Raw genomic sequence first — 25,895 nt, 5'->3', positions numbered from 1 at the left:
GGTTGCAACCCTTGCTTTTAAGCACCTTTGTGCTTCAGCAAACAGGTGAGGCCTCTCTCCTTCAGCACCATCCACGTTCACTCCCATTTTTCTTGGAATTTAAATTTCTAGGACCTTTACTAAACCAGGAAAAAGTATAGTATAGCAATCTATTATTATGATCAGATTACCCCCCACCAAAAAAAAAAAAAAAAAAAAAAACCCTCCTATTAAGCCTGTCGGGATGGATGAATTGGGGTTTTGCCAGCTTTGGGCTTGAAATGAAGTGGGAATGTGTTATTGTTTAACTTGCGGCCCACAAGCAGGAACCTTATTTATATCTCTCTGAAATGTTTGCTCTTGGAAAACCCAGAGAAAAAAACATGTATAATAAAATAATTGCAGATCTAGTTTAGCCAACATTTGATGGTGCCTCTTCCAAGGTAGTCCTCCTCAGGGCTCTTGGCCAGGACTGCAGCTTAAGAGGACTGCATTGGTCATGTTTATTAGAAATGTGTGCACTGGTGCAAGCCGAACACAGCAGCTCTGCCCATTCTGCATTACAGGGAGGCGCCATCGCCATCCTCACGGCCGCAGAGAGGCCGGGCCACTTCGCCGGCATGGTACTCATTTCGCCTCTGGTTCTTGCCAATCCTGAATCTGCAACAACTTTCAAGGTAAAAGGACCTTCCAGTCTGTACAATTCCTACAGGTTCCCCGGGACATGGGTCTTCCATTTGTAGCCTGAGTCTATGTAAAAAGACCAAAGGCCATCCTTGGACCTCAGACACTATTGCGTGAGGGGTTGGACAAATATCCAACACTGTTGCCACCGGGGTTCTGTAATTTCTAAAGGCAGGTGCCATTTTCCCCCAAGACAAAAAGACAATGCCTTCCTGTTTGTGCATGTTTTATTGATGAATTTTAAAAGGAGACGAGGTTAGACTTGTTATTTGTCCAGCAAAGTCACGTTTGTTAACAAGTCACACTCAAGGCCTGGGCTGTTTTTCACTGATTATTTGCCAACTTCAGCAGAAAGTGAACAGTGAGTGGAACTGCAGGCACTCCTAACTGCATGCAGTATGGAGTCGCATCCACTGCCGCGCTCCTCCGCCCCGGGCACTTTTGACCTCTGACTGTTAGGGATCCGTGATTTTGTTTTTCTGGTTGGAATGACCCATAGGAATGATATACCCTGTAGGTACTGGGACTCTGGGCTGCTTTTGCCAAGGCAAATGAACCAACAAATGATACCTAGAGGTGGAGCAGGCACCTTCTCTCCCCGAGAAAGGAGATGAAACCAGTGGCCTCGGTAGGGCGGCTTGCTTGTGACTCTGGCTTGTTGACAAGGTATCAGTTTAGACCCGGCCTTGGGGGCATCAGGCTTAAGGTAGATACATAGCCGCAGTGAGGGTGGAGAATCCCAACCCCACGTATCCACAAGGAATCCTCAGTCTCACCCCAGTGCTGGGCAGGGGCTGCTGCCTCCTGAGTCAGTTCTGGAGACTCTCAAAGGAGAAAGAGGTGAGATAGTAGGTCATGGGGCCAGGTGCACTGGGCAGCCGTCACCCACAGGCTTACCCTATGAACTGTGGGATCATTTAAATAATGACATTAGCTCTTATTCCCCCACCGCACTCTCTTCAACACAGTACAGGGAATGAAACCTTATAACAACATCCTCAAAGGGTTTCCTTCAGCCCATGACCACAGACTTGCTCCTGGCTCTAGAGACAGGCTTTCAATTAAAAACAGAAAATTTCAGCCATCTGAAATGGGGCTCGGCTTGGCAAAAGAGAAATCAGGGACTATCTGATAGTTTAGCCAGAGAACGATGATTTACTTAGTTTGCGAGAGAGATGGATGATATCTCCTTTGAATTTTACTCCAGTTTAAGGAAATCACGGACTTACTGAAATTGACTATCATGAATGAAGTTCAGTGCTGTGTGGGACAGTACCAGGGTTCTGTCACAGAGTGATCGAGGTCCCTTAGCATCACAATGCCCGGATGTGCACTACCTCTTCATCATTGAAACGTGCGATTGGGGGGAGACATGACCTACTCAACATCTCCCGTGACTATGGTTCTAATTATCTAAGTAGAATAAGCAGGCCCAGACTCAGCAGCAGGGGCGTTCCCGCTGCGTTCCATGGGATTTGCTATATGCAGGTCTGCAAAATTCAGCCAATGCCAGGCATGCACTGTGCTCTCCCAGGCATTGTCTCATTTAACTCCTCTCCAGCCCAGGAGCAGGTTGTAGCAGCACTTTCCAGATGGGAAAACCTGGGCTTAGGAAAGATGAATGGCTGGCCAGGATTGTGCAGCCCTTGTGATGGGTTTGAATCCAGGGCTGCCCACTCCCCATCTAGGATATTTCCCCAGGGAAGAAAATGGATGTTTCTGCAATGGATGTTTTCCCTTACAGAAAAGCCAGGGCCCACAGGACTTTTCAGATAAAGTGCACCAGGGGGACCTGGCAGCTGGGCCTGGAGGTGGGACCAACAAGGGTTTCCTCCCAGAGCCCCCTGGGCTCTATACCGACCAGGGGAGGGGGCACTTCTGGGCAAGGCCACCACTGTGACCTTTCAAAGACTTGTGCTAATAGATCACCTTGTGACATTCGGAGCCAGCTGCCCCTGGGGGAACACAGGTCTCCTCTTATTAACCAAGACAAATGAGGTTTCCCTTTGCCCCAGACTTGAGGGCCCAGCTTCCCCTCCCTGAGATCTGTTGCTGCTCCTGCATCTCTGGCAATTTTGGCTGACAAAGTCCATGATGCATTCGTCCACCCTGCCCCTGGAAGGCTTCATCACTCTTGGCACATTTTCTAGTCTGGTCTGACAACCTTCCTGAAAGTCTCACAGGATCTATTTTTTAATGTAATTTAAAAGTTTTAAGAATAAGACATTTCTATGGTTCAAAATTCAAAAGATATGAAGGAGGATGCAGGGAGAGTCTCTCTCCCGGTTGGCGTGGGCAGCAACCCATGGTACCAGCGAGAGTCTCTGCAACTCCCGTCAACGCTCACTCCATTTGTTCTTCTTTTTCACACAAATGGGAGCTTGCTCCATGCATGTCGGGGGTACTCTGTGTTTGCTTTTGTTGTTTTGGTTGGTGTGTTTGTTTTTGTGGGTTTTGGGTTTTATTTGGTGGTTTTGCTTAGCAACCTTTTGGTGCTCCTTCCCCATCAGGACCTACCAAGGGTCCCACTGCAGGGATAGGTCCTGGTTTCAGGAGGGTGCCCTGGGGTCATTTCCAGTTGTTTGCTCTTATGAGCCTCAATGATGGAACAATTCCTAGAGCCCACCTCCTCCCTCTAGCGTTCTGTTTGGGAAATCTGTTTGGTGGTGGGGCTGAGGGGCTTCCCTGAGTGTGGCTGTGAGTGGTAGCAGAGCACAGTCAAGTCCCAGCCTCCTGACTCCTCAGACAGTGTTCAATCCATCAAGCCATTCAACAGTTTCCCAGCACCAGGCACCTTCTAGAGCAACTCCCCCAGTTAGTAAGGGGCAGCGTGAGATGCCCAGTCTGTGAGTACAGTCTGGCCTGTGGAAGACGGCCAGCCCCCACCCCCTGCAATGTGAGAACGCCAGATCACCCCCACCCTCCTAAATCTCGCCACCATCTGGTTCTTATGTGGATGCTGGTTTTCAACAAGCTGGGATATATTTAGCCTGGAGATGAGACAATGAGGATGGATGGGGGGGCCCCAAACATTGTCTCTGCTGAGAAAGTGGTTTCGCAAAGTGGTAGCAGCAGAAATTCAGAAACAAAAACTCCATGCATCTGAACAAATCTGGCTATTTGTGAGGTCACTCTGTGGGGTTTTTCACCATGGCTCGCGGCTCGTGCCTGGGTACAGAGGTGGAACTGTGGCCCCCCAGCTGGAAGAGTGTAAAGCTCCAGGTGCCCCTCGGGATTTCCCACCCTTAGTTGTCTGGGACAGCACTCAGGAGCAACTGCAGGCTGCAGGGCCCCTCCTTTCTCTGGGAGCCTCTTAGAAGAGAAAAATCCCTCTGGGCTAAGCTTGAGGGATGGGGGTCTCAGCCTACCAGGAGAGTAATCATTCTAAATGACCTCTCCCTGTTGCCAAGGTTGTCCCTTGGGTTCCTGGGGCAGGGGTGCAGGAGTCAGCCAGTGCTTCAAGATACTCCCACTCTCCGCCAAGAAGGGCACCTCGCCCAGTAGGGAGAAGGGGGTTGCCCCTGGGAGCCCAGCACTCGGTGCCTGACATGCATTGTCTCCATTCCTCTCCAGCACCGCCCTGGAAGGAGGGGAAATTATTCCCAATTTACAGACAAGGAAATGAGGCCAAATGTCTTGCTCGAGTCAGCTTGAGCACCAGCTCAGACCAGCTAGCATGCCAGGATACCCCCTTTCACCCCAAAACACACCTGAAATCAGCTTCCCTTAATGGAGCCCACTCCCATCTGAATGTCACTCATCTGTTTTTAGCCATAGAATCCAGAAGGCCCTTGGGGCAGTGGGAGATTGCAGGGAGGGAGGGGAAACAAGTGGAACATGGCCACTCTTTCAAGCTTCAGGTGAATTTGGACCCAGGATCCCGGAACTTAGCCATGCACTGGCCCTTTGGGCAGCAGCAATGAGCTGCCGTGGGGGTTAGTTCACCTCTGTCCTGTGGGCACCTGCTCTCTAATAGCTGGGTGTTGGGCTTTCTAGACACCTGTTATTCCAGGAATCAGCTGTCTTCCTAGCAAGCCTCCTGCCACACATCTTTGCTGAGCCCCTGATCTATCAGGAAACAAATGTCCTGGCCTTCCCAGCAAGGGTCACTGGGAAAGGGGCACAGCACTTTCTGTTTTATGGCTGCCTTAAGGTGTCCTCTCACTCTCAAGAAAATCTGGGGCAACCCTGAGGGTACCTGCTGTGTCCCCCACATGGCCGTCCTATGACCCTTGTCATAGTGCTGTCCCACGGAAGGTGGGGAGTCCTAGCCTCCTGCGCACAGGTCAGCCTGTGGGAGCCACTTAGGAAACAGCATCTGTAATTGCCTTCCTCATGGCAAGGCTTTCACTGGCAGAAGTGAAATTCACTTAGAAATGATCACAGGGAGCCATTAAAACCTTCTGGATCAATAAAGGCATTTGTGCCTGTCTCTAGTATTTAAAGTGACAGGCGTGATGGTGCATCGGGAACGCCCCTCAAGCCTCTTGCTCATCAAGATGTTGACTTCAGCTGTGGGACAGTTGCCCTATTTGTGGATGACTGTGTCATTTGTTGCAAAGCTGCACGTCACGTGCTTTTCCTGAAGTCTCTACTTTGAATGACATTTGCTCATTCATTCAGTCAACCAACACCTATTTATTGGGCCTCTCCTTAGGGCCAGAAGCCAGGAAGAGAGTTAGGGACCTGCTGCAGAGCGGTTGAGTCTCATGCAGCTCTCCCAGCATCCCTTCGGAGTTAGTTTAATTATCCCTGTCTTACAGGTGAAGAAACTGAGATCATAGACTTTCTCGAGGATTCAGAATCAAAGTTCAAATCCAAATGTGCCTGCTTCGCGTCTCCAAATCTGGTTTCTCCATTTCATCGCCTGTCCCTTCCGGGGTTGGGGTCTAGTGACTGTGTAGCCATTTGTCATGGGTTTTGGCCCCAAATTATCCTCAGGCGACGACCCCTGGGGTCTGGGTTGAGCTGGCATAATTGGGAGCTCTGTGGTTACACAAACCTGGTTTCACCAGGGTCATGGGGCAGGTGCGGGGGGTCTCACCTCAATGGGGGAGCCATGCAGGGGCTCCTCTCTCCTGAGCTGGATCCAAGGCTCTCTCAATGCTCCTGTAGGACTATTCGAGGATTTTGAAACACTTGATGGAAAAGGCATCAAGAATGTTAAAGTTTTGGATTCCACGTCCTTTTTGGGTGAGCAACTCCCCTCTGAGGCTTCCCTGGTGTGCTCACAGCTCAGGATGGAGGTTGTGGGAGAGCAGGAGCAGCAGTCATCTGGTCGACCTCGACAATGTGATCCATCTGGGTGCGGGACCTGCCATGACTCCTTCCTTCCCCACTGCTTCCTCGTCATGCCGCCTCAATGGCCCCTGCTCAACCGTTCTGCTTTCCTTCATGCACAATCAACCCACTTCCTCTGCTTAGCTCTTTCTCCTCCCATCCTACCCTTTCCTCCTTCAGGAGAGATTAGGCTCATGAAATCAACAAATCTTAAAAGAGCAGCAGGGAAAGGGGATCTCTTTTGCAGTTGTTCAAAACATCCTGCCCCTGCATGGCAGCTCTCCTCTTTCTTGGGGCTTTTATGGGGAAGAGGCTAAACACCTAATTTGTTTTAAGCCATGAAGTTATCATTAAAATATTTGCCTCTACACAATTGAGTCTTGTTAGAAATATGGCTTGGAACTTACTATGCAGGTTTAGAAAAAGAGCTGAAGATCAGGGCTATGCAAACATCTCTTATGGTGGTTCCTTTGAAAGGGCAGCTTGCCCTGCAGGGACGTGTACACCTCCATCCTAGCCAGTGCCTGTCAGAGGCACTTCTGCTCTAGCTGCACACAGGATCCCTAGGGAACTTTAAAAAGGCCCTGATGCCAGGGCCCCACTTTGGCCAATACAATCAGAATCTCTCAGGGCAGCACTGGGAGGAGGTGTTTCTGGTGTTTCATGGACACACACACTGCCAGCCCCTGAGACTTCACCACGCACATGAATGCCCAGGAGCCCTGTGAAGCTACAGATCCTGACCCAGAAGCCAGGTGGCCCTGGAGCCCCTGGCGCTGCTGGTTTGAGGACCACACTGAGCAGGGAGGCCCTGGGATGTTGGGATGGGTGTGCTGTGCCCGCTACCATACGCCAACTGGATTGAAGGAACAGAACAGTACAGGCGGTTCCATCTTCCTGGGAAGACAGGGAGTTACAGATCGTTTTAAGGGAATCCCAGGACTCTAGAAGTCTCCTTCATGGGTTTCTCTTTCTGCACCTTTCCTGTGAATGGTGTATCCACCCGGGTCCCCTCCTGCCTCTTTGCACACTCTCTGTGGTGTAACTTGCACCCAGGGCTTCAGCAGCCATCTATGCACTGAGACCTTTCTGTTCTTGGGGTGGCATTCCTCGGGATTTAGTGCCAGGACACACCTGTGTGCGCATTCACTGGGAAAAGTCTGCAGAATCTACACCAGGCCTTCCTGGAGGGCGTGTTCCTCCATCTACATTCGTGATGGAACAACCAGTTATTGTCGCCGGGACACCAGTGCCTCATGCACACCATCAGCCACGGGAGTTTTACTGTTACAAGCTTGTCCTCTTAGGCACATTCCCTCATCCTGAACCTGCTGGCAGCAGCTCCTTTAGGGGAGCGAGGGTGGCTGCTTGTCCCTTCCGTCCTTGGGCAGCCAGCGCTCAGCTGGATGCATGCAGTGGAAGTCACCTTCTGCCTCCACTCCTGAGCAGGATGTGCTCTCCCCACATCTCCTGTTTGCGCTTTCAGCAATAGATCATTCACAGCCATAGGACGGGGAGGCCTCCCAGTCCTTGGCTTTTTGTACCTGGAAGGGGATGGTGAGGCGTTCAGCTGCCAGGAATCACTTCCTTCCCTCCAGGGACCAGCCCCTTGCATTGTTCATTTTCTAAAGCAAATACTTCTCAGGAAGTGGCTCTCCTCTTTTTTTTTTTTTCCTACGAAGCTCTTTTCTTAAAAGCTTACTTTAACTGCAAAAAGTTCCACTGTTCATGGAGGAAGAAAATCAGGCTTGCTGGGTGAGACGACAGAATAGGGCTTGCTGTAATTCTCTCCTGGAGGCAGGCTCTCTCTCTGGCTCTCTGTTCCCCCTTCCCCAACCTCTGTGAAACCACTTCAAGGATGGCTCAAGCTGCGCTGATCCTTGAGGCGCCAACAGCCTAAGCTGTCAGCATCTTCTCCAGAGCCTGGAAGTAGAGGCCTTGTCACTTTTTGGTATAAAAGTTTTGGGTTAAGAGGTGCCAGCAGCAGAAACATATGTTCAAGGATGAAGGTAAGTCTGTCTTCACAAATGACTGATCCTGAAGATGGACTGGCACCTCCAGGCCCAGGTCCCTGCAGAATCAGGTGATGGGTCCCCAAAACACAAATGGTGGCACAATGAGAAATCTGGTGGTGGGCTTGGACGAAATGGTGTGGATGCTGGGTGGTCTCTTGCTTTCACCTCTGTGGCAGGCACTGCTGAGGTGCTGGGTCCCTGGGCCTTTTCTTGGCTCTGAGCCATCTGGTCAGGGAATGGGTAGGAAGCTGGCTTACATAAAACAGTCATGTCCCTGAGAAGGCTGTGTGGGCCCCAGCAGGCAGGTGGGTTGACCTGGGAGCAGCGCCTGCAAGGCTGGCACTTGCACACCATCCCGTTACACAGAGCCTTCCTGCGGTTCCTGAGTGTGGTGGGGATCCTCCCGCCACAGCTGGCAGCCCCATGTCTCCTCTGGCTGCACACAGGATCACTAGGGAACTTTAAAAAGGCACTGATGCCAGGGCTCCACTTCGGCCAATACAATCAGTCTCTCAGGGCAGCACTGGGAGGAGGTGTTTGTGGTGTTTCATGGACACACACACTGCCAGCATCAGGGAGTAGTGACAGGGTACTGAGAACAGCAGAATATCTAGAAGTGAGTTCTTCATAACTGTGGAACACAGAAGTCTTCCCTCACAGTGTGGCCCTTGCCCACTGCTGCTGGAGGAGAGCGCTAAGGCCCTGGAACACTCGTCCTTACACAGCCAGAGTCTAGTGAAGGCCACAGAGCCACAGCCCACTGCCTTTATGCACTGATCCACTCCATTTTCTCATTTTTAGATTGTTTTAACCTTTGAAAGCACAGATCCCAATGCAGACGAGCTCCCAATTCTTGGAGTTCACAGACATTTGATCCGTGTTTGAAAATACCCCAGTCCTTGTGCAGAGTTCCCAGAATTCCAAGTTTTCCTTTCCCAGGCTCGTTCTTGGAGCTGGCCCATGATACTAGCTGGACTCTTGAACATTCCTGACCCATCACGGCCACCCTTCGAGGCTTCCGATTATGCAGACACACCATGCCCCTGCACAGTGCTCAAAGTCAGGCTGCCGCATGCTTCTATACTAGACAGTCAAAGTCGGAGCCCAGGGCTCAGCAAAGCACCTGGCACAGTGGCGGCTGCAGAATGAGATCTGCTTGCCTGGATGCCAAGGCTGGAGGGCAGTAAGCTTCGGTATCCTCAGAGGCAGGGGGCTGCCACCTTTGCACTAAGAAGGAATTACTGATTTCTACCATTTGAGAAAAGGAGTGTTGACCACATGGAACTCCGAATAGGTTCATGCACATGGAACAAAGCCCTTTAGGAGAAAAGCCCGTTTTTTGCTGTCTGCCTGATACTGGATGGTTGAGAAACAATCGTGGTGGGCAGTCACGCCACACTTGTGCGGGCCTAGGACACAGGAAGGTTTAGCCCTGGCCTACAGGGAGGGTGGGCAAGCACAGCAATCTTGTCCCCCAAAAGAACATCAGTGGCCGCTGGTGCCAAGACCCACGGGAAGGTTAGAGCTCTGGGTTACATTTGTGGAGAGAGACACAGACAGCGGCAGAGACAGAGACGTAGTAATCCAGGCTGTGTGGCATAAGAAGATAAAGCGGCCCCCCAGCCCGGGGCCCCTCCCATGGACCTCATGGTACCGAGCCTCCATTTTCTCATCTGTTCAGTGAGGATGAAGCCTCATCTCCCAGGGTTTTTGCAAAGACAGGGAGACTGGCCGGGCGCCGTGGCTTACGCCTATAATCCCAGCACCTTGGGAGGCCGAGGCAGGCGGATCACAAGGTCAGGAGTTTGAGACCAGCCTAACCAACATGGTGAAACCCCGTCTCTACTAAAAATACAAAAATTAGGCAGGCGTGGTGGCACGCGCCTGTAATCCCAGCTACTCAGGAGGCTGAGGCAGGAGAATCACTTGAACCCAGGAGGCAGAGGTTGCAGTGAGCCGAGATTGCGCCACTGCACTCCAGCCTGGGTGACAGAGCAAGACTCTCAAAAAAAAAAAAAAAAAGATAGGGAAACTGTGCCCAATGCACCAGAAGGTGGTTCCTCGGTGCCTGTGAGTGCCCTTGCCCTCTGCCAAGGGTACTGAGCTACGTGCCCTGTGCCCTTGATGTACACTGAGAATTCACTGCTTGCCACCTTCCGTCCAATTCTAATTTCAGCATTTCACAGCTCACTTTTGAAATAGCATCTTTCATCCCCAAATGTCTGTGCACATTGCAGAAATGAAAACAGCCCCTCTCTGAAGGCAGAAGTGTGAGATCCGGGTTCTCTGTTTTCCTGGGAAAACAAGAGATCCAGAAGGAGAGATGGGGGAGGGGGTGGGAAGGTTTGGGCCTCAATCAGGCTCAAGTTCAATGAGCATGTGTTAAGCTCCTGCTGTGTTCCCTGGGCTTTTGCACACAGGGTGTTATTCACCTTCCCCGTGGTCCTCTGGGGGAGGGTCAAGGTCCCACTGGCAGCTGAGGAAACGGAGGCTCAGCGATGTGGAAATCCCAGCCCATGTTCACGAGGCAGCAGAGCTAGGAATCAAACCCAGCAATCCTTCCCTCTGCCACACAGCCTCCTCATCGAGCTGGTGCTATTTCTACTTCCACCCGAGAGAAATGGACGCACACTTTCTCTGTGTGGCTCCTGTGGGCCCTTCCGCACTGCCCTGCTTCGTGCTCAGTTGATCTGTGTGATTCTGCACCTGCCGTGTATTTTCAGTACCCCAGAGAAATGGCCAGAGCTCATCCCAGGCAACTCTTGCCAGTGATGCAAAATTACAACCCATGAGCGATCATGGGGAGGGTATAGAGCGGGCAAAATTCAGACGTGACTTCCCACCTTGGGCGCAGCGGCTGCCTGGCCAGCTCCCCCAAGGTGGAGCAGAGCCAGGCTGAATAGAGGCTGAGTCAGAAGGGAGAGTCCTTGGGCATGCAGGCTTAAGGACGCAGGCTTGGGAGACGAACCTGGCTGATGTTCAGTTTGGGCATCACTCTCCTTAATGTACTGTAAACTGTCACTGCGGAAGAGCCGGGTGTGGATGCCACTTGTGCTCACAGCCCTTGTTTTCCCTCCCCGGCTAGGTCCTTGCTGCGAAAGTGCTCAACCTTGTGCTGCCAAACTTGTCCCTCGGGCCCATCGACTCCAGCGTGCTCTCTCGGAATAAGACAGAGGTGAGAGGCTTTCCGAAACCCCAGGGGTAGCTTGGGTGGCTGCCCCCATGGGGAATCAGAGTTTTGGCTCCAGCCTTGGCATTCTCTGCTGCCCTTTCACCGAGGCCCTGTGCAAAGTGACAAGGACACAGTGGTGCATTAGACATGGTTGGCTTCAGGTTTGGGTGAAAAGGGTGGGTTGGCTATGATGCCTGAGCTGTGTTCTAAACATGAAAGGAGCCAACAGTGGAAGTTGAGTGTGTGCCAGTCAAGTCTCTTGGTTGCAAGAGACAGAAACCTACATCAAAGTGATTTAAGCAAAAGCAGGGATTTTGTGGTGAATGGAACTGAAGGCTTCAGACATGGCTGGATCCAGGGCGTTGAAAGTCTTATTCTCCATCGGTCTCTTCCCAGCTTTCATCTCCCCTGGTTTGGCTTCATTCCCAGACAGGCTTTCCCCCAGTGAAGGCCAAGAGGGCCACCAGCAGGTTTACCTGAGCAACCCCAGTGGAAAAACAGCACCTCTTTCCAGCAAAAGTCTCAGGGCTGATTCTTACTGACTGATTATCCAGGCCTGGATTATTTGTCCAGGAAAGGGGGGTAGTATCATCCCCACCCACTGAGAGTAGAGGAAGGGGATCCCTGGGGGTAACTCAGAATAGTGGTAGCAAAGGAAGGACAGACCCATATTGCAGATGAGCAAACTGAGCCCCATAACGTGGGATGACTTGCTTGGGGTCAGCCAGTGGTGAGGCTAGCCTGGGAACGTGGGTAGGTGTGGTCTCCAGCTGTGCTCTGTCTGGGTATGGGAGTGGGCTTGCAGTTAATGGGTAGGAAGCATCCAGAAGACACCAGCATTATCTTCATGATTAAGCAAATAAGTTTGCCACTCTTCTGCCTCAGTTGCCCTCTTGCTTTAGGAGTTTGAAATCATTGAATCACTGGCTCCCTAAATCACTGAATCACTGGCTCCCTAAAGGGCCCTGGGAAGTGGAGTGCAGTGCTCTAGCATTCTGGGGATGTTCCCAGACTTCCTTGGGCTGTTGGACTCTAGCTTCATTATAAACTGTGGCCTTCTGGCCCTCTGAGTCACTTAGAGAGTGGGCAACTCAAGAGGAATAGCCCGTGGTGTGTAGGAAAGAGACTTTCTAGATCAGGGGTTGAAAACTCCTAGGCCTCTGAGGGCCAGCTGCTTAAAAATCAGACTGGTGAGAGATTCTAGCAAGCCATGAGGCCTGTGTGGAGCCAGAGGGCATCTGATCCATCCAACCCATCCACATTAATTTAAAATTCTAATATAATTTGGTTTTTAAAGCCCACAGTGCCTCCCAAACCTACATCTTGGGGCCAGGTTGGACCCATTAGGGACCAGTGTGTGGCCCCTGGTCTTTCTGAAAGAATATCTGAATAAAGGAAAAAAACTTTAATTCCAAAAAGCAGATTCATACAGTGAAAGAGCACAACTTTAGGACCCAGAAAGACCAAAGCCAAATATACACTGTTTGATTTAATCCTGACATGAATGAGATCGACATTAACCCCATTTCACAGATGAAGAAACTGAGGCTTGGAGAGGTTAAATAACCTGTTCAAGATTGCACAACTAGTCAGGGGCAGAGATGGGATTTTAGCCCATTTTATTCAAAAGTCCATGCTTTGGTGCCTCCCTCTAGCTAGTAATTATGGTCATTAAGCTCTGTTTCCTGTTTTACAATTGATTGCTGGTCCACGCAGCCCATGGCCATGGCCATTGCTCTCTGTACGGGACCCACTTTGACAGGGAAACTCAGTGTGGGGCAGGGGCTCCTGCACCTGCCTGCATCCCTCATAATGGCTCTAGCTTGAAGGTGTGGTGTCTGGTAAAACCAGTGATCTTTGTAGCGGCAGTGCCAGGACAACAGTAGGTTTGAGAAAGATGGGTCAGGGAGGGAGGGGCCTCCCTTTAAGACAAAGCACCCAGGTGCAAATCCACGTTGTTTATCTGAACACCTGAAAATACACGGGCAAAGAGGAAGAAAAAAACAGGTACTAAAAAGAGATTCCAAACCCTCTCTATTTAAAAGCATCCAATTTCAGATCTTTTCTCTCCTTTTTGCAATAATGAGAAATTCTTCGGTCTTACTCAGGATGGAAGCACCTGGTGGGGCTCCCCTCCTCTGTTCCTGCCCCACCCACAGCCCCCATCCGAGCCCTCCTGCCTCGGGTTTCTGGCTGCCCAGGTCATCAGTTATTTAGAAACACTAATAAATGTCCCTGCTGAGAAGACATGAGGAAGGGAGGTGGCCGGTCAGCCCCAAGGCTGGACTGCAGTTGGAAAAATCAAGAGCACGCCTTTCCCTCCCTCGCCTGCCGCAGCTCTGCGTCTCCCTCTGAACGTTCTGCTGAGCTTTAAAAATAGCAACGCTGAGGGGAAAATGTGTTGGGAAAGGCATCTAACATCGGGGTGTCTTGAGGCACATCTTTAGCTAAGACATTTCCCATGGAACCCTGCAGCTATAAAAGCCTCAAACCAAAAAGAAATGTTTGCCTAAGAAGCTGAGTGAGCAGGACTATGGGGGATGGGCCACTGGCCGGGAATCGAGGGTGCAGGGGCCTGGGACTCAAGAGTGCACAGGCCCCAGGGAAGATCTGGAATTCTGTCTGAAGGGAAGCGGGTTAGCTCTGTTGCCAGAATGTCAGAAGCAGAATGTTTGGTGTTTGCTGTGACAAGCATTCTCACAACCCACCCAGGACTGCTAGTGGGCTCTCTTCACTTGCGTCGCCCCAAAGCTGCCACCCTATAGAGCCACATTCTCGCCGCATGTGTGAAGCCTTCAGGAAAAAAGGCATAAGAGGACTTTTTATTGTCTCAACACTACCCAATGCACAATGATGGCATCATTCTTCTGTGCCAGACACTAGAGCCCTTCTGGTCTCACCATGACCCCAGGAAGTCAGTCTTATTACCAGCATTTGTAGTTGTAGAAGTGTGGGCCCAGAAAGGGCAAGTCACTTGCCCAAGAACACAGCTACTCCGGGCCAAGTGCCCTTGGCACTCAAACCCAGGGAACAAAGAAGTTGCTACACAGACATTTATTATGTTTGTCAATATATTTAGGGTCCCTGATCAGAACATCAGAATACTGACATGGTAATCATTCCACCCCAAAAAGGCTTTATCAGAATGTGATGAATCCCTTCCTACTCTGAGAAGCCTTGAACGTGATTCTAAAGAGTTCTATGGCCAAGGACGCTGTGGGAGGAGGTGAGGAGGAGAGGTTGTTCAGCATCTGCCCATGCCCTCAGCCATCCACATACTCAGGCGGAATGCACTGCTTCCTCTCCCAGGCTGTGGAAGGGGTGGAGGCGGGAGGCAGAGGCCATGATTCTGAGCACACCTTGTGCTAGGAACCTCAGCTGCTTATCTCCTGAGGCCACTTGTCTTCTAGAGCCCAGTCTCTGTTCTTTATAAGTACCCTGGGAGGCCCTTCCTGCGCATCTGCTAGTTTATATTCCCTCAGGCAGGCCATATGCTGAGTTCTGAGCACCCGGGAGCCATGAGGAGTGGCCACTCAGCTTCCTTTTTTGTCTCCTCTGCCCGGTGTTTCGGATGTGCCCAATGTCGAGGAGTTGGCTCCAGGTCCCCCTGTTGCCTGCCTGTCCTGCACCCATGCTGCCCAGAGGCCCTCGGAAGGCTCCTGCCGGGTCTTGGAAAGCTCGGCCGTGCTGAGGCCTTCGACTTAAGCGTAACCACAGCTAAAGATGGGCTTCAGCCTCCCACACTGTCCCCAGGACACAGCCTTCCACGGGAGTTCCCTCCGAGAACGAGCTAAGAACCTTCCAGCAAACTCGGTTTGGCTAGCAGATTTTATTCTGTGGCTCTCTATCGTTCATCACTTACATTCCCCACAGCATATACTTGTCTATTTGAGACAGTCTTATTACCAGTATTTGCAGCTAAAAATTTCCCAATGCCCTAAAAAAACAACAGGCACTAGAAAGTCTCTTGGGCATATGGCTCCATGTGGGGTGGTGGCGAGGGAGCGTGTGAATTGCTCTACGTTGCTTTTGCGCCCTGCACCACCCTCTGTAGATGTTCCAGCTCTGGACCCGCTCCCAGTCCCACTCCTGCCGGCCACCAAGGCTGGGAGAAACGGCTGTGAGCTCATGACAGGCAGATCCTGGAAGTATGATGCTTTAATGGCAGCAGAAAACCAGGGACTGCAGAGACTGTCAGGGAAGCCACAGCTGCCAGCAAAATACAGGACACACTGAGGAGTTCTCTGTGTCCAGCAGGCCCAACTGAGCTTCTTTCTCAGTACCTTTGTGGGTACGTGGGACATGCACATAGTAGGGCCTTGGCAGTGGAGGAAAGAAAGATGTGGGCTCAGTTGGGCTTCCGTGGGAACATAGCCTGGGCAAAGCTCTCTCAAAGACACCTCTCAGCTGTTGTGAATAACGCTGCTGTGCCCGTGGCGGTGCAGATATCTACTCCAGACCCTGCTTCCATTCTTTTGGGTATGTATGTACCCAGAAGTGGGATTGCTGGGTCATATTCTGCTGGTAATTTTGGAGGAACCATGCTGCCATTTTCCACGGTGGCTGTGCCATTTCACATTCTCACCAACAGTGCTCAAGGGTTCCAGTGTCCCTACATCCTCGCCAACACTAGTTAGGTTGTGTTTTTTGATAGTAGCCATCCTAATGGGTATGGAGTGGCATCTCAGTGTGGCTTTGATTTCTATTTCCCTAATGGTTAGTGATGCTGAGTGTCTTTTCATGTGATTTTTGGATATTTGTATGTTGTCTTCTTCTTCTTCTTCTTCTTTTTTTTTTTTTTTGAGATGGAGTTTCTCTCTCGTCGCCCAGGCTGGAGTGCAGTGGCGCGATCTTGGCTTACCACAACCTCCACCTCCCAGATTCAAGCGATTCTCCTGCCTCAGCCTCCTGAGTAGCTGGGATTACAGGCGCGTGCCACCACACCAGGCTAATTTCATATTTTTAGTAGAGACGGGGTTTCTCCATGGTGGTCAGGCTAGTCTCGAACTCCTGACCTCAGGTGATCAGCCCGCCTCAGCCTCCCAAAGTGCTGGGATTACAGGTGTGAGCCACTGCACTGGGACCTTGTATGTCTTCTTTAGAGAAATGTTTGTTCAGATCCTTTGCCCATTTCTTTTCTTTTTCCTATTTCTTGTCTATTGTTTTTCTTTTTCTTTTTTTTTTAGTTTAATTTAATTTTAAGTTCCAGGATACATACGCAGGATGTGCAGGTTTGTTACATAGGTAAACATGTGCCATGGTGGTTTACTGCACCCAGCAACCCATCACCTAGGTATTAAGCCCCACATGCATTAGCTATTTATCCTGATGCTCTCCCTCCCCCCGTGCCCCTCCTCCTGACAGGCCCCAGTGTGTATTGTTCCCCTCCCTGTGTCCATATGTTCTCATTGTTCAGCTCCCATTTATAAGTGAGAACATGTGGTGTTTGGTTTTCAGTTCCTGCGTTAGTTTGCTGAGGATAATGGCTTCCAGCTTCACCCACGTCCCTGCAAAGGACATGATCTTGTTCCTTTTTATGGCTGCATAGTATTCCATGATGTATATGTACCACATTTTCTTTATCCAGTCTATCATTGATGGGTATTTGGGTTGATTCCATGTCTTTGCTATTGTGAGTAGTGCTACAATAAACATACGTGTGCATGTATCTTTATAATAGAATGATTTATATTCCTTTGGGTGTATACCCAGTAATACCCAAAGGGATTGCTGGGTCAAATGGGGTTTCTGTTGTCTTCCACGATGGTTGAACTAATTTACATTCTCACCAACAATGTAAAAGTGTTCCTATTTCTCCACAGCCTCACCAGCAACTGTTGTTTCTTGACTTTTTAATGATCACCATTCTGACTGGCGTGAGATGGTATCTCATTGTGGTTTTGATTTGCATTTCTCTGATGATCGGTGATGTTGAGCTTTTTTTCATGTGTTTCTTGGCCACATAAATGTCTTCTTTTGAAAAGTGTCTATTCATATCCTTTGCCCATTATTGATGGGGTTGTTTTTTTCTTGCAAATTTGTTTAAATTCCTTGTAGATTCTGGATATTAGACCTTTGTCAGGTGGATAGATTGTAAAAATTTTCTCCTATTCTGTAGGTTGTCTGTTCACTCTAATGATAGTTTCTTTTGCTGTGCAGAAGCCCTTTCTGTGCAGAAGCTCTTTAGTTTAATTAGATACCATTTGTTAATTTTTGTTTTTGTTGCACTTGGTGTTGACATTTTCATCATGAAATCTTTGCCCGTGCCTAAGTCCTGAATGGTATTGCCTAGATTTTCTTCTAGGGATTTTATAGTTTTGGGTTTTACATTTAAGTCTTTAATCCACCTTGAGTTAATTTTTGTATATGGTGTAAGGAAGGGGTCCAGTTTAAATTTTCTGCATATGGCTAGCCAGTTTTCCCAGCACTGTTTATTAAATAGGGAGTCCTTCCCCCATTGCTTGTTTTCATCAGGTTTGTTAAAGATCAGATGGTTGTAGATATGCAGTCTTATTTCTGAGATCTCCATTCTGTTCCATTGGTTATATGTCTGTTTGTGTACCAGTGCCATGCTGTTTTGGTTACTGTAGTCTTGGAATGTAGTTTGAAGTTAGGTAGCATGATTCCTCCAGCTTTATTCTTTTTGCCTAGGATTGTCTGGCCCATCGTTTGCTTTGCTCATTTCCTAATTGGGTTGTTTGTTATTTGTTGTTAAGTTGCAGGAGTTCTGTATATGTTCTGGATATTAACCCCTTATGTGGATATTAACCACATATACAAATATAATTCGCAAGTATTTTCTCCTATTCTGTGGGCTGCCTTTTCCCTCTGCTGATAATGTACTCTGAAGCATAAGGGTTTTTTTCTTTCTGATGTAGTCCAGTTTATCTGTTTTTCTTTTGTTGCCTGTGCTTTTGGTGTCATATCCAAGAAGTTGTTGCCAAATCCAATGTCATGAAGTGGATACCTTGTTTTGGCTGAACCATGTGAAAGTAAACTGCAGACACCACGATCCTGAATGCGCCTGAATACTTCCGCCTGGGTTGCCCAAGAGGAAGGACTCAAAACAGAGGCTTTCACACAGGACCCCATGCCATTATCACATTTAGGAAAAGTAACAGTCATTCCCCCTTGTTGTCCTCGATCTAATCCATGCTCCAGTTTCCACAGTTGTCACCATTTAAGACTTGAGACTGCATGATTTTGCTGTTCTGTGATCAGCAGTTATGAAAGTGGTCCTGCAAGACCTGGGAATTCTTTCTTGTTTCTCTTATTATTCCTCAAATCCCTGAGCCTGTGAGAAGGCAGAGAATGTGGTGGCTGCTTTTTCCTTTCCCTTGGTGGTCACCTAGGAGCACTTCTGTGTTCAGAGCCACATTCCAGGGCCCTCCATTCCAAAGGACAGAAAGAGGTTGACTTTTTGCATCACTTCTGGTTGTGAAGACTCTGAAGCCCTGCAGAAGGAATCCTGGGGGAGGAGACAGTGGTGGGGCGGGGCTATGCAAACAGCTCTCCCCATTTGCCGGGGCTGCGACCTGCAGAGCCATTCCTACCTCACTGCTCTTAAAAGTGGATGCTAGGGCTGGATGGACGCGGTGGCTCATGCCTGTAATCCCAGCAATTTGGGAGGCCGAGGTGGGCAGATCACCTGAGGTCAGGAGTTCGAGACCAGCCTGGCCAACATGGTGAAACCCCGTCTTTATTAAAAATACAAAAATTAGCAGGGCATGGTGGCGTGTGCCTGTAATCCCAGCTACTCGGGAGGCTGAGGCAGGAGAATCATTTGAACCTGGGAGGCAGAGGTTGCAGTGAGCCAAGATCGCACCACTGCACTCCAGCCTGGGCGACAAGAGCGAGACTCCATCTCAAAAACAAACAAACAAACAGATGCCAGGATGTCCAGGAGTTCAAACCTTCATACTAAAAAGTAATTTGGCGGAAAGAATGCTCATTAATTTGCATACCCTTGATTAAGTGGCAACTCAGAATTGTAGGCTGATCCTTGATTATCCTCTTTCTGTCCAAAATGGCACTGCAGCTTCCAGGAGAGGAGAATGTGGAGCAACATCTTCTTTCCAAATGGCCCTGATCTGGTTCAGGAATTTCAGCCACTGAGGCTGGGCGCCAGCTGGGGCTGGCCCAAGGCAGGGTAAGGTCACTGTGGGGACTCAGGCCTCCTGGTAGGCAGGGCTTGCTTGGGTCTATCGAGCCGGGGAAGCTTTCTGCTGAGTCAGGCAGGGCCTATCTCCCCTCTGCCACCCTGCAGGCAGCTCACCACACCAACAAACTTTCTCAGGGTTCCCACTCCAGCCAGGCTAGAGCTGGAGGCTGTGACACCCCATGAGTTGCCCTGTTGTCCCTGCCAGCCAGGCCCATCAACTGCAGTGGCCCAGAGGGGAAAGAGGCGGTAGGCTCAGTGGGAAGAGCACAGGCTTCCAAAAGGACCTGAGTCTGGACCCCGCTCCATCTCCTCAGTGTGACCTTGGAAGCCACACTCAGTCTTGCCCTTCCTCAGATCCCTCCAGATGACTGCACAGCCACCTAGCACAGTGTGGACCCTAGCAGGTGAGAGCTGTTGCTATCACAGCTCTGAGAGAGGCCCACTGAAGGAGGTGCTGGTGAAGATACAGGAGCCTGGGGAGAGAAGCATGGATGTTGGCGAGGGTGTCTGGGCACCTGTCCACAGGAGGAAATGCTTAACCTGGGCTTTGAAGAGAAGGAACAGGGTTGCTGGCAGATAAGAGAAAGGCCGTGGAAGGGGATGGTGGAAACGGAGATATCGGGGCCAGTCTGTAGTGCAGACGACAAGCACATGAGGAAAGGGGTCTGGGGATGACACACACGGGACCGGGGAAGGCTGCCTGCAGGAAGGGCAGCTGAGCCGAGGGTTGATAGGGAGGGAGAAACTCCACAGGCAGCCAAGGAAGGGGTCTGAAGGCTGAGGGGACATGCTGTGCAAGGGCCCTGGGGTCAAGGGGAGTGGGGAGTGTTAAGGGAGGGCAGGGATGGAGGTGTCCCAGGCCATACCAAGAAGTTAGGACTTTGCCCTGCAGCCCCCATGGGAAGCACCACAGGGTTCTTCACAGAGGGAGACAGGTACAGATCTGTGAGTCTGAAATGGGACTTATCTCTGCGTGACAGGGACCCAATGCCGTGAGCCCTCTGGGGGCTGACAGCAGTGGCCAGGGTGCTACAGGCTTGGGAGGGAATGTGTGGGAGAGGAAGCACGCCATGGCCACGCCAAGCACAGCTGTTTCCAGCCTTCAGCATGTTCCAAATTCAGGCCAACTTCCACAGGACATTGACGTTGTTTTTTTTGTTGTTGCTATTGTTGTTGGTGGTGGCTTTTTTTTTTTTTTTTTTGGAGGCAGGGTCTCGCTCTCTTGCCCAGGCTGGAGTGCAGTGGCGTGATCTCAGCTCACTGCAGCCTCCACCTTTTGGGCCCAAGCAATCCTCCCACCTCAGCCCCCGCAGTAGCTGGGACTACAGGTGTGCACCACTATACCAGGCTAATTTTTGTATTTTTTGTAGAGATGGGGTTTTACCATGTTGCCCAGGCTGGTTCTGAATTCCTGGGCCCAAGTGATCTGCCCACCTTGTCCTCCCAAAGTGCTGGGATTACAGGCATGCACCACCGTGCCCAGGCTACGGTACATTCTTATTTGCGTTTAGGATATTCCATAGGCCTGGGGTTCAGCACAATGCACTGAAGGAAAGCAATGCCAAGCGGCTCCAAAAGCAAGCTATCGGGGCTTTCCACGTGTGCACGCAGAAAGGCCATTCACTGAATGAAATGACAAGGGCCTCCCCTTTCGAGGGTCCTAAGTCTCATTCCCATTGTGGACACTGTCTTGGCCAGCAGGTGGCCAGCGGTTGCCAGCTGCCGTGAGGTCTGTGCTGGCCTCTCAGTACCCAAAGGTGCTACTTCTTGGGCTGGATTAGGGAATGGTTTGCTTATTCATCCATTGCACCAGAGTTTACCAAAGGCTTCCCCTGTGCCAGCCACCGTGCAGGCCATGCAGAGGACAGGACAGACAGAGCCCTGACCCTCACGTGGGGCAGACATGTGGGAAGAGATGTGCTGATTGCAGACCAGGCCAAGTGAGGCATGGGAGAAGGGTTTTGGGGCAGCAGAGTCTGTGGGGGTCTGGGAAGGCTGAGCTGAGGCCTGAAAGCGGAGTAGACAATGTTAATTAAGCTAAGAGCAAGGGGCTGAAAAGCTGTTTGTGATGGGAGACAGAAGCCATCACAGGAGGATTCTCTCATCCAGCTCTTTCCACCACAAATTATGTCTCCGGCCATTCAAGACAAAGGTGGGAAATGAGGACATCGTCTCTGCAAAGACTTGCCAGTTTTTGTTAGGGTTCCTGCAGGTTTCTAAATTTCACAGAGATCACTCAGGTAGAGTGTCATGCACTCTTTCTCTATTATGCCAGAGAAGGCTATCCGAGTTCCCTGTATTGGAAATGGATGGATTAAGAGAGATCTAAACAATGGAGGAAGAAGGTGGGAATTCCAGGATGGGCTCTAAAGCCCAGGTGGAAGGGTGACGCTTCCGTAGGAAAAGGGAGGAGATTGCAGGGAAGGAGGGGCAGGAAGAGCCAGCTGTGGACAGATCTACAGGGATGAAGCCTGCTGGGTTGTATTTCTCTGTGATTAGGGGTGCATCCAGGAGGGCACATGCCTGTCTGTGCCCAGAAGGGCTCCCCTATCCCCTCTGGCTGGCTGTGAAGGGCGGTAACCCCTGGGCCCCACCAGATCACTTCACCATCTGTCAGGCCCATCTGCTTATGGTCCTCATCAGGGACCATTCCTGCCTTTTCTGAGAGCACTAGTGCCCCTGCCACCTGCATAGCTCCTGGCTGTCTATGCCCCAGCACTGACCTTCACCTTCTCCTCTCGAGACAGGCAGCAGAGCATGGTAAGTGGCTAAGAATGCTGATGGCAGTGGCAGAGTGCCTAGGTTCTTACCTTGGCTCTGCCTCTTGCTGTGTAACCTTGGGTGAGTCATCTAACCTCTCTGAGCTTGTCTCCTCATATGTAAAAAGGTAATAATAATAGTTCCTACATCACAGGGTTCCTGTGAAGATTAAATGAGCAAGTGCGAGTGAAGCACTTACTACAGCACCTAGTAAAGAGTCAAGGGCTCCACGCATTAGTTATTTTTCATAGTATTCTAATTAAACTCTGATATTGCATTTCATCATGGAACAATTTAAAAAAAAAATGGGTCAAGAGATTTGACTGCAGGGGTTGTGTCTAGATTTTGCTCAAACGTAAGTGTAAGAAAACTCCCAGCTGAGGATTGCAGCTGTATTTACTGTACTTCAGTGCAAAGTTTCTTCCCACAGAGAGACAGTGCTGGAAATTCAGAAGACCCAGCTGGTATATTCCTGGCTGTCAAGCTCAACAGGAGGCCAGCTTGTGAAACTTAAAACCCAAGAGGAGGCTTTGGGGTCCCCTGATGGGGAAACTGAGGCCCAGGAAGGCGTAGAGCCTTACCATACTCCCAACCCCCACCCCGGGGAAAAAAAGACTTCAACTCTCAGCCAGTGGGGGCTCCCCAGGAAATCAGTTATCTAGAGCCATGGTGGGGGTGGTCACTTGGACCTGGGTCCCCAGCTTGGGCTCCTGCTTCCAGCTGCCATGTCCCCAGCAGACCCTGGTCTCAGCTGGTGGGAGCCATGGTGAGCCAAACAGGAAGGTGGCGGTGTGAGAGACTGTGCCAAAGCCTGGGCCTTTGTTACTTGTTCTTAGTTAAATTTTTCATTTAAGATCACTGTAACTCACAAGCAGCTATAAGAAATAATACAGAGCGATTCCATGTACCCATTACCCAGTTTCCCCCAGCAGTGACATTTTGCAAAACGACAGGACAATATCACAACCAGGATACTGACCTTGACACAGTCAAGTCACAGATGGCTCCATCCCCACAAGGACCCCTCATGTTGCCCTTTTGCAGCTGCATCCCCTCCCCACTCGCCCCACACCCTCCTCAGCCCTGAGAGCCGTGAGTCTGGTCTCTGTTTCTCTAGTTTTGTCACGTGAAGAACATTACATCAGTGGAATCATGCAGTGTGGAATATTTGGGGACTGACTCTGGTCCCTATTGAATGAATGGGCTCATGTTCTGGGCTTGGGCCTGGTTTGGGAGGAAGGGGCCTGGCTATCTCCTTCCTGGGAGCCACAAGCCACATTCCTAGGACTTTTGGTGGATTGAGATCTTAAGCTGTCAAAAAATCAAGGCCATTGTGCTTGTGCCAGAACTGCCACTTGAGGGGAGGGTTTGGCCCCTCTGTGCCTCAGTCTCCCCATGTGGTACAGCCCTCCCCAACCTCCTGGTCCCAGTTTCCCTCTGCCCCTCACCTCCGGTCCAGGCTGTGGTTCACATCAGGGGCCTGCTCTTTCTCTGACACATCTGGTGGCTGGGCCCCAGGCCCAGAATAGGCCATTGTGTAAACAGGGCCTACGTGATCAAGACATGGAAAACGAAGCCAAGAGCAGGAAGCCGCTTGGGCCGTCAGTGCAATTAAACTCAGAAGCAGAGTCCCCGAGCGCCTGCTGTGCCCAGGACACTTGGGGTCAGCGGGGCAAAGCAGCAGGCCTGCTGCAGGAAGAAGGTGGTTGTAAGACATCGCTAGCAACAGGGGCGAGGGTGTGGCCCCCACCCCACAGGTCCCATGGGAGCCCTGGAGACAGCATGGGATGGGGTGGTGGCCCAGCCCAGGGCACCGCCAGCCTGCTGGAACCCATACCCCCAACAACAGCAGCTTAACCAAGAGAGGGGGTGACTTCTTGGCATCAGGACACCCATCTTGTTGCTCTAGCTTCCAGGGGCGAACCTTGTCCACACGGCCCTGACTCTTTCTGTGGGGCAAGGAGAAAATAAGCCGTCAACCCAGAATGTGCACACAGCCCCTGCCTGCTTTCTATTGGCCAGAACGTGGTCATGTGACCACACCTAGCTGCAAGGGAGACTGGGAAATGTAGTCTCTATTCTGAGCAGTTGTGTACCGAAGGAAACATCAAGGTTCTGTAGGGCAGAACAAGAATTGGGGCAACTAACAGCAGGCAGGTTGACAAGCCTCTCTGTGCCTTAGTTTCCTCCTCTGTGTAGTGGAGAGAATGAGAGCAATTCCTCATACAGGGGAGTTATGGAGGCCCAGTGAGTTACTGCATGCAAAAACACTTAGTGCCGGGCAGACAGCCAGAGCTCAGATGTAGCTATTATTACTTTTATTACTCAATGAGACCCTGCATGTCGCAGCCCTGCACAGGCTGGTAGATGGCGCTGCTGTTGGTGACTCCAAGCCCCAGGCTCTTTTGCGGGCCCTACAGCCCTCCTTCCCTCAGGGCTCCTGGCTGACCCTGGGGAAGCACCCCCTGTGGTTGGGCCTGGCCATGGGCCCCCATGAACTGCCCTGCCAGTCCCGTGTCCTCTCAGGCTCCGAGCAGATGGCCCGGCCCAGCAGGACTCATGCCAGCTCAGCTGCAGGAAGTGGCTAATCTGTCTCGTGTGGATTTACACAAATGGTCTGGTTTTTGGTGCTCAGTCCCCAGCATGGGAAGGAATCCAGGGATGGCAGGGGTGACTGCAGGACAGCCTCTCCCACTTGGTGTGGTCCAGAATTCTGGCCGAGGCCTTGTAGGGGTGGCAGCAGAAGGGGTGTAGCTCAGTTCTTGGAAATGCTGAGTCCTAGCACAGTGGGCACCCTGGTTGCCCGGGGAGCAGCTGGCAGCATGTTCCTTCCTCGTCCCCACATGCTCTCTGACCCTCACCCAGTCCTCACCACGTGGCCCCTCCCCAACCCACCAAGAACCCACTGGCAAGGATGACAAACATGAATGAAGAAGCATCATGGGGCCGGGCGCGGTAGCTCATGCCTATAATCCCAGCACTTTGGGAGGCCGAGGCGGGTGGATCACCTGAGGTCAGGAGTTTGAGACCAGCCTGACCAACATGGCAAAACCCCGTCTGTACTAAAAATACAAAAATTAGCTGGGTGTGATGGCCGGCGCCTATAATCCCAGCTACCTGGGAAGCTGAGGTAGCAGAATCACTTGAACCCTGGAGGCAGAGGCTGCAGCGAGCCAAGATCGTATCACTGCACTCCAGCCTGGGTGACAGAGGGAGACTCCGTCTCAAAAAAAAAAAAAAAAAAAAAAAAAAAAAAAAAAAGAAGCATCAGGGGCTCACTCCTGCCCTCTATGGGCCTGAGAGATTCCTAGAAACTTCTCCCCGATCCTGTAGGGCAGATGCTAGAGAGATCAGGGCAGTGGAGCCTGAGCTGTCTTTATGGAGGCAGGAAGAGTGAAGCCAGAAACCCAGACAGGCCAGGGAGAGCAAGGACAGGGGAGAGAGCAGCCCCTTGAAAGGCAAGATCCACAGGGTGGTGGTTGAGGAGAGAGGACCCACATCCCGTAGAGGGGGAGAGTTGGCCTTGGGCACAGCCTGTCAGGGCGTCTGACCACCCTGTGTAGCCCTGAGGGGCACGGAGGCCGAGCCCACCCCAGCCAGACCCACCCTTGGGCGTCCCTCACCCCAAAGCCCATTGTCAGTGCCTGGCCGAAGCCCCTCCAGGGGCTCCTAGCATGGGCCCTCGCTTTCCAGCACAGAACCCAGTAAACTGTTCCTGCAGTTTACTGTTTGCCCCTCATCCACTTCCACCAGGTGGACACCAAATCAGCAGAGACAGAGAACAAAAATCAAGTGCTAAAACTGCTGCAGAGCTACTTTTTAATAAAATAATTGATGTGAACAA

The 25,895-nt window shown here is 51.0% G+C and overlaps 1 protein-coding gene across 13 annotated transcripts in view, besides 5 other annotated features; it reads left to right on the top strand.

Moving 5' to 3' along the window:
- The window catches only part of MGLL (monoglyceride lipase), a 134,120-nt gene that overhangs the window by 101,477 nt on the left and 6,748 nt on the right, over nt 1-25,895 (top strand). For 6 of the 13 annotated variants that reach the window (NM_001003794.3, NM_001388317.1, NM_007283.7 and 3 more), the window contains 2 exons: nt 546-656; nt 11,044-11,133. In NM_001003794.3, the coding sequence (NP_001003794.1) occupies nt 546-656; nt 11,044-11,133 (201 nt within the window). Of the gene's footprint in view, nt 1-545; nt 657-5,778; nt 5,857-11,043; nt 11,134-25,895 lie in introns of all 13 variants that reach the window. The other 7 variants (NM_001388313.1, NM_001388315.1, NM_001388312.1 and 4 more) reach the window with 2 other exon arrangements.
- Nucleotides 14,414-14,557: a silencer, noted in NCBI's record as "fragment chr3:127425995-127426138 (GRCh37/hg19 assembly coordinates)". NCBI's record gives its function as "represses an EF-1alpha promoter that drives an FKBP-Casp9 reporter gene in an ReSE screen in HepG2 liver carcinoma cells {active_cell/tissue: HepG2}" and the evidence as "EXISTENCE:reporter gene assay evidence [ECO:0000049][PMID:32094911]".
- Nucleotides 14,774-15,274: an enhancer, noted in NCBI's record as "H3K4me1 hESC enhancer chr3:127425278-127425778 (GRCh37/hg19 assembly coordinates)". NCBI's record gives its function as "activates a minimal SCP1, AML or CMV promoter by ChIP-STARR-seq in primed H9 embryonic stem cells {active_cell/tissue: H9 hESC(primed)}" and the evidence as "EXISTENCE:reporter gene assay evidence [ECO:0000049][PMID:30033119]".
- Nucleotides 18,346-19,091: an enhancer, noted in NCBI's record as "H3K27ac-H3K4me1 hESC enhancer chr3:127421461-127422206 (GRCh37/hg19 assembly coordinates)". NCBI's record gives its function as "activates a minimal SCP1, AML or CMV promoter by ChIP-STARR-seq in primed H9 embryonic stem cells {active_cell/tissue: H9 hESC(primed)}" and the evidence as "EXISTENCE:reporter gene assay evidence [ECO:0000049][PMID:30033119]".
- Nucleotides 18,489-18,783: an enhancer, noted in NCBI's record as "tiled region #5176; K562 Activating DNase matched - State 8:EnhW". NCBI's record gives its function as "activates a minimal TATA promoter and a strong SV40 promoter by Sharpr-MPRA in K562 cells {active_cell/tissue: K562}" and the evidence as "EXISTENCE:reporter gene assay evidence [ECO:0000049][PMID:27701403]".
- Nucleotides 19,092-19,839: an enhancer, noted in NCBI's record as "H3K27ac-H3K4me1 hESC enhancer chr3:127420713-127421460 (GRCh37/hg19 assembly coordinates)". NCBI's record gives its function as "activates a minimal SCP1, AML or CMV promoter by ChIP-STARR-seq in naive H9 embryonic stem cells {active_cell/tissue: H9 hESC(naive)}" and the evidence as "EXISTENCE:reporter gene assay evidence [ECO:0000049][PMID:30033119]".

This window comes from Homo sapiens, chromosome 3, assembly GCF_000001405.40.
Source record: "Homo sapiens chromosome 3, GRCh38.p14 Primary Assembly".
Lineage (NCBI taxonomy): Eukaryota > Metazoa > Chordata > Mammalia > Primates > Hominidae > Homo > Homo sapiens.
This window is presented reverse-complemented; position numbering and strand designations above follow the sequence as displayed.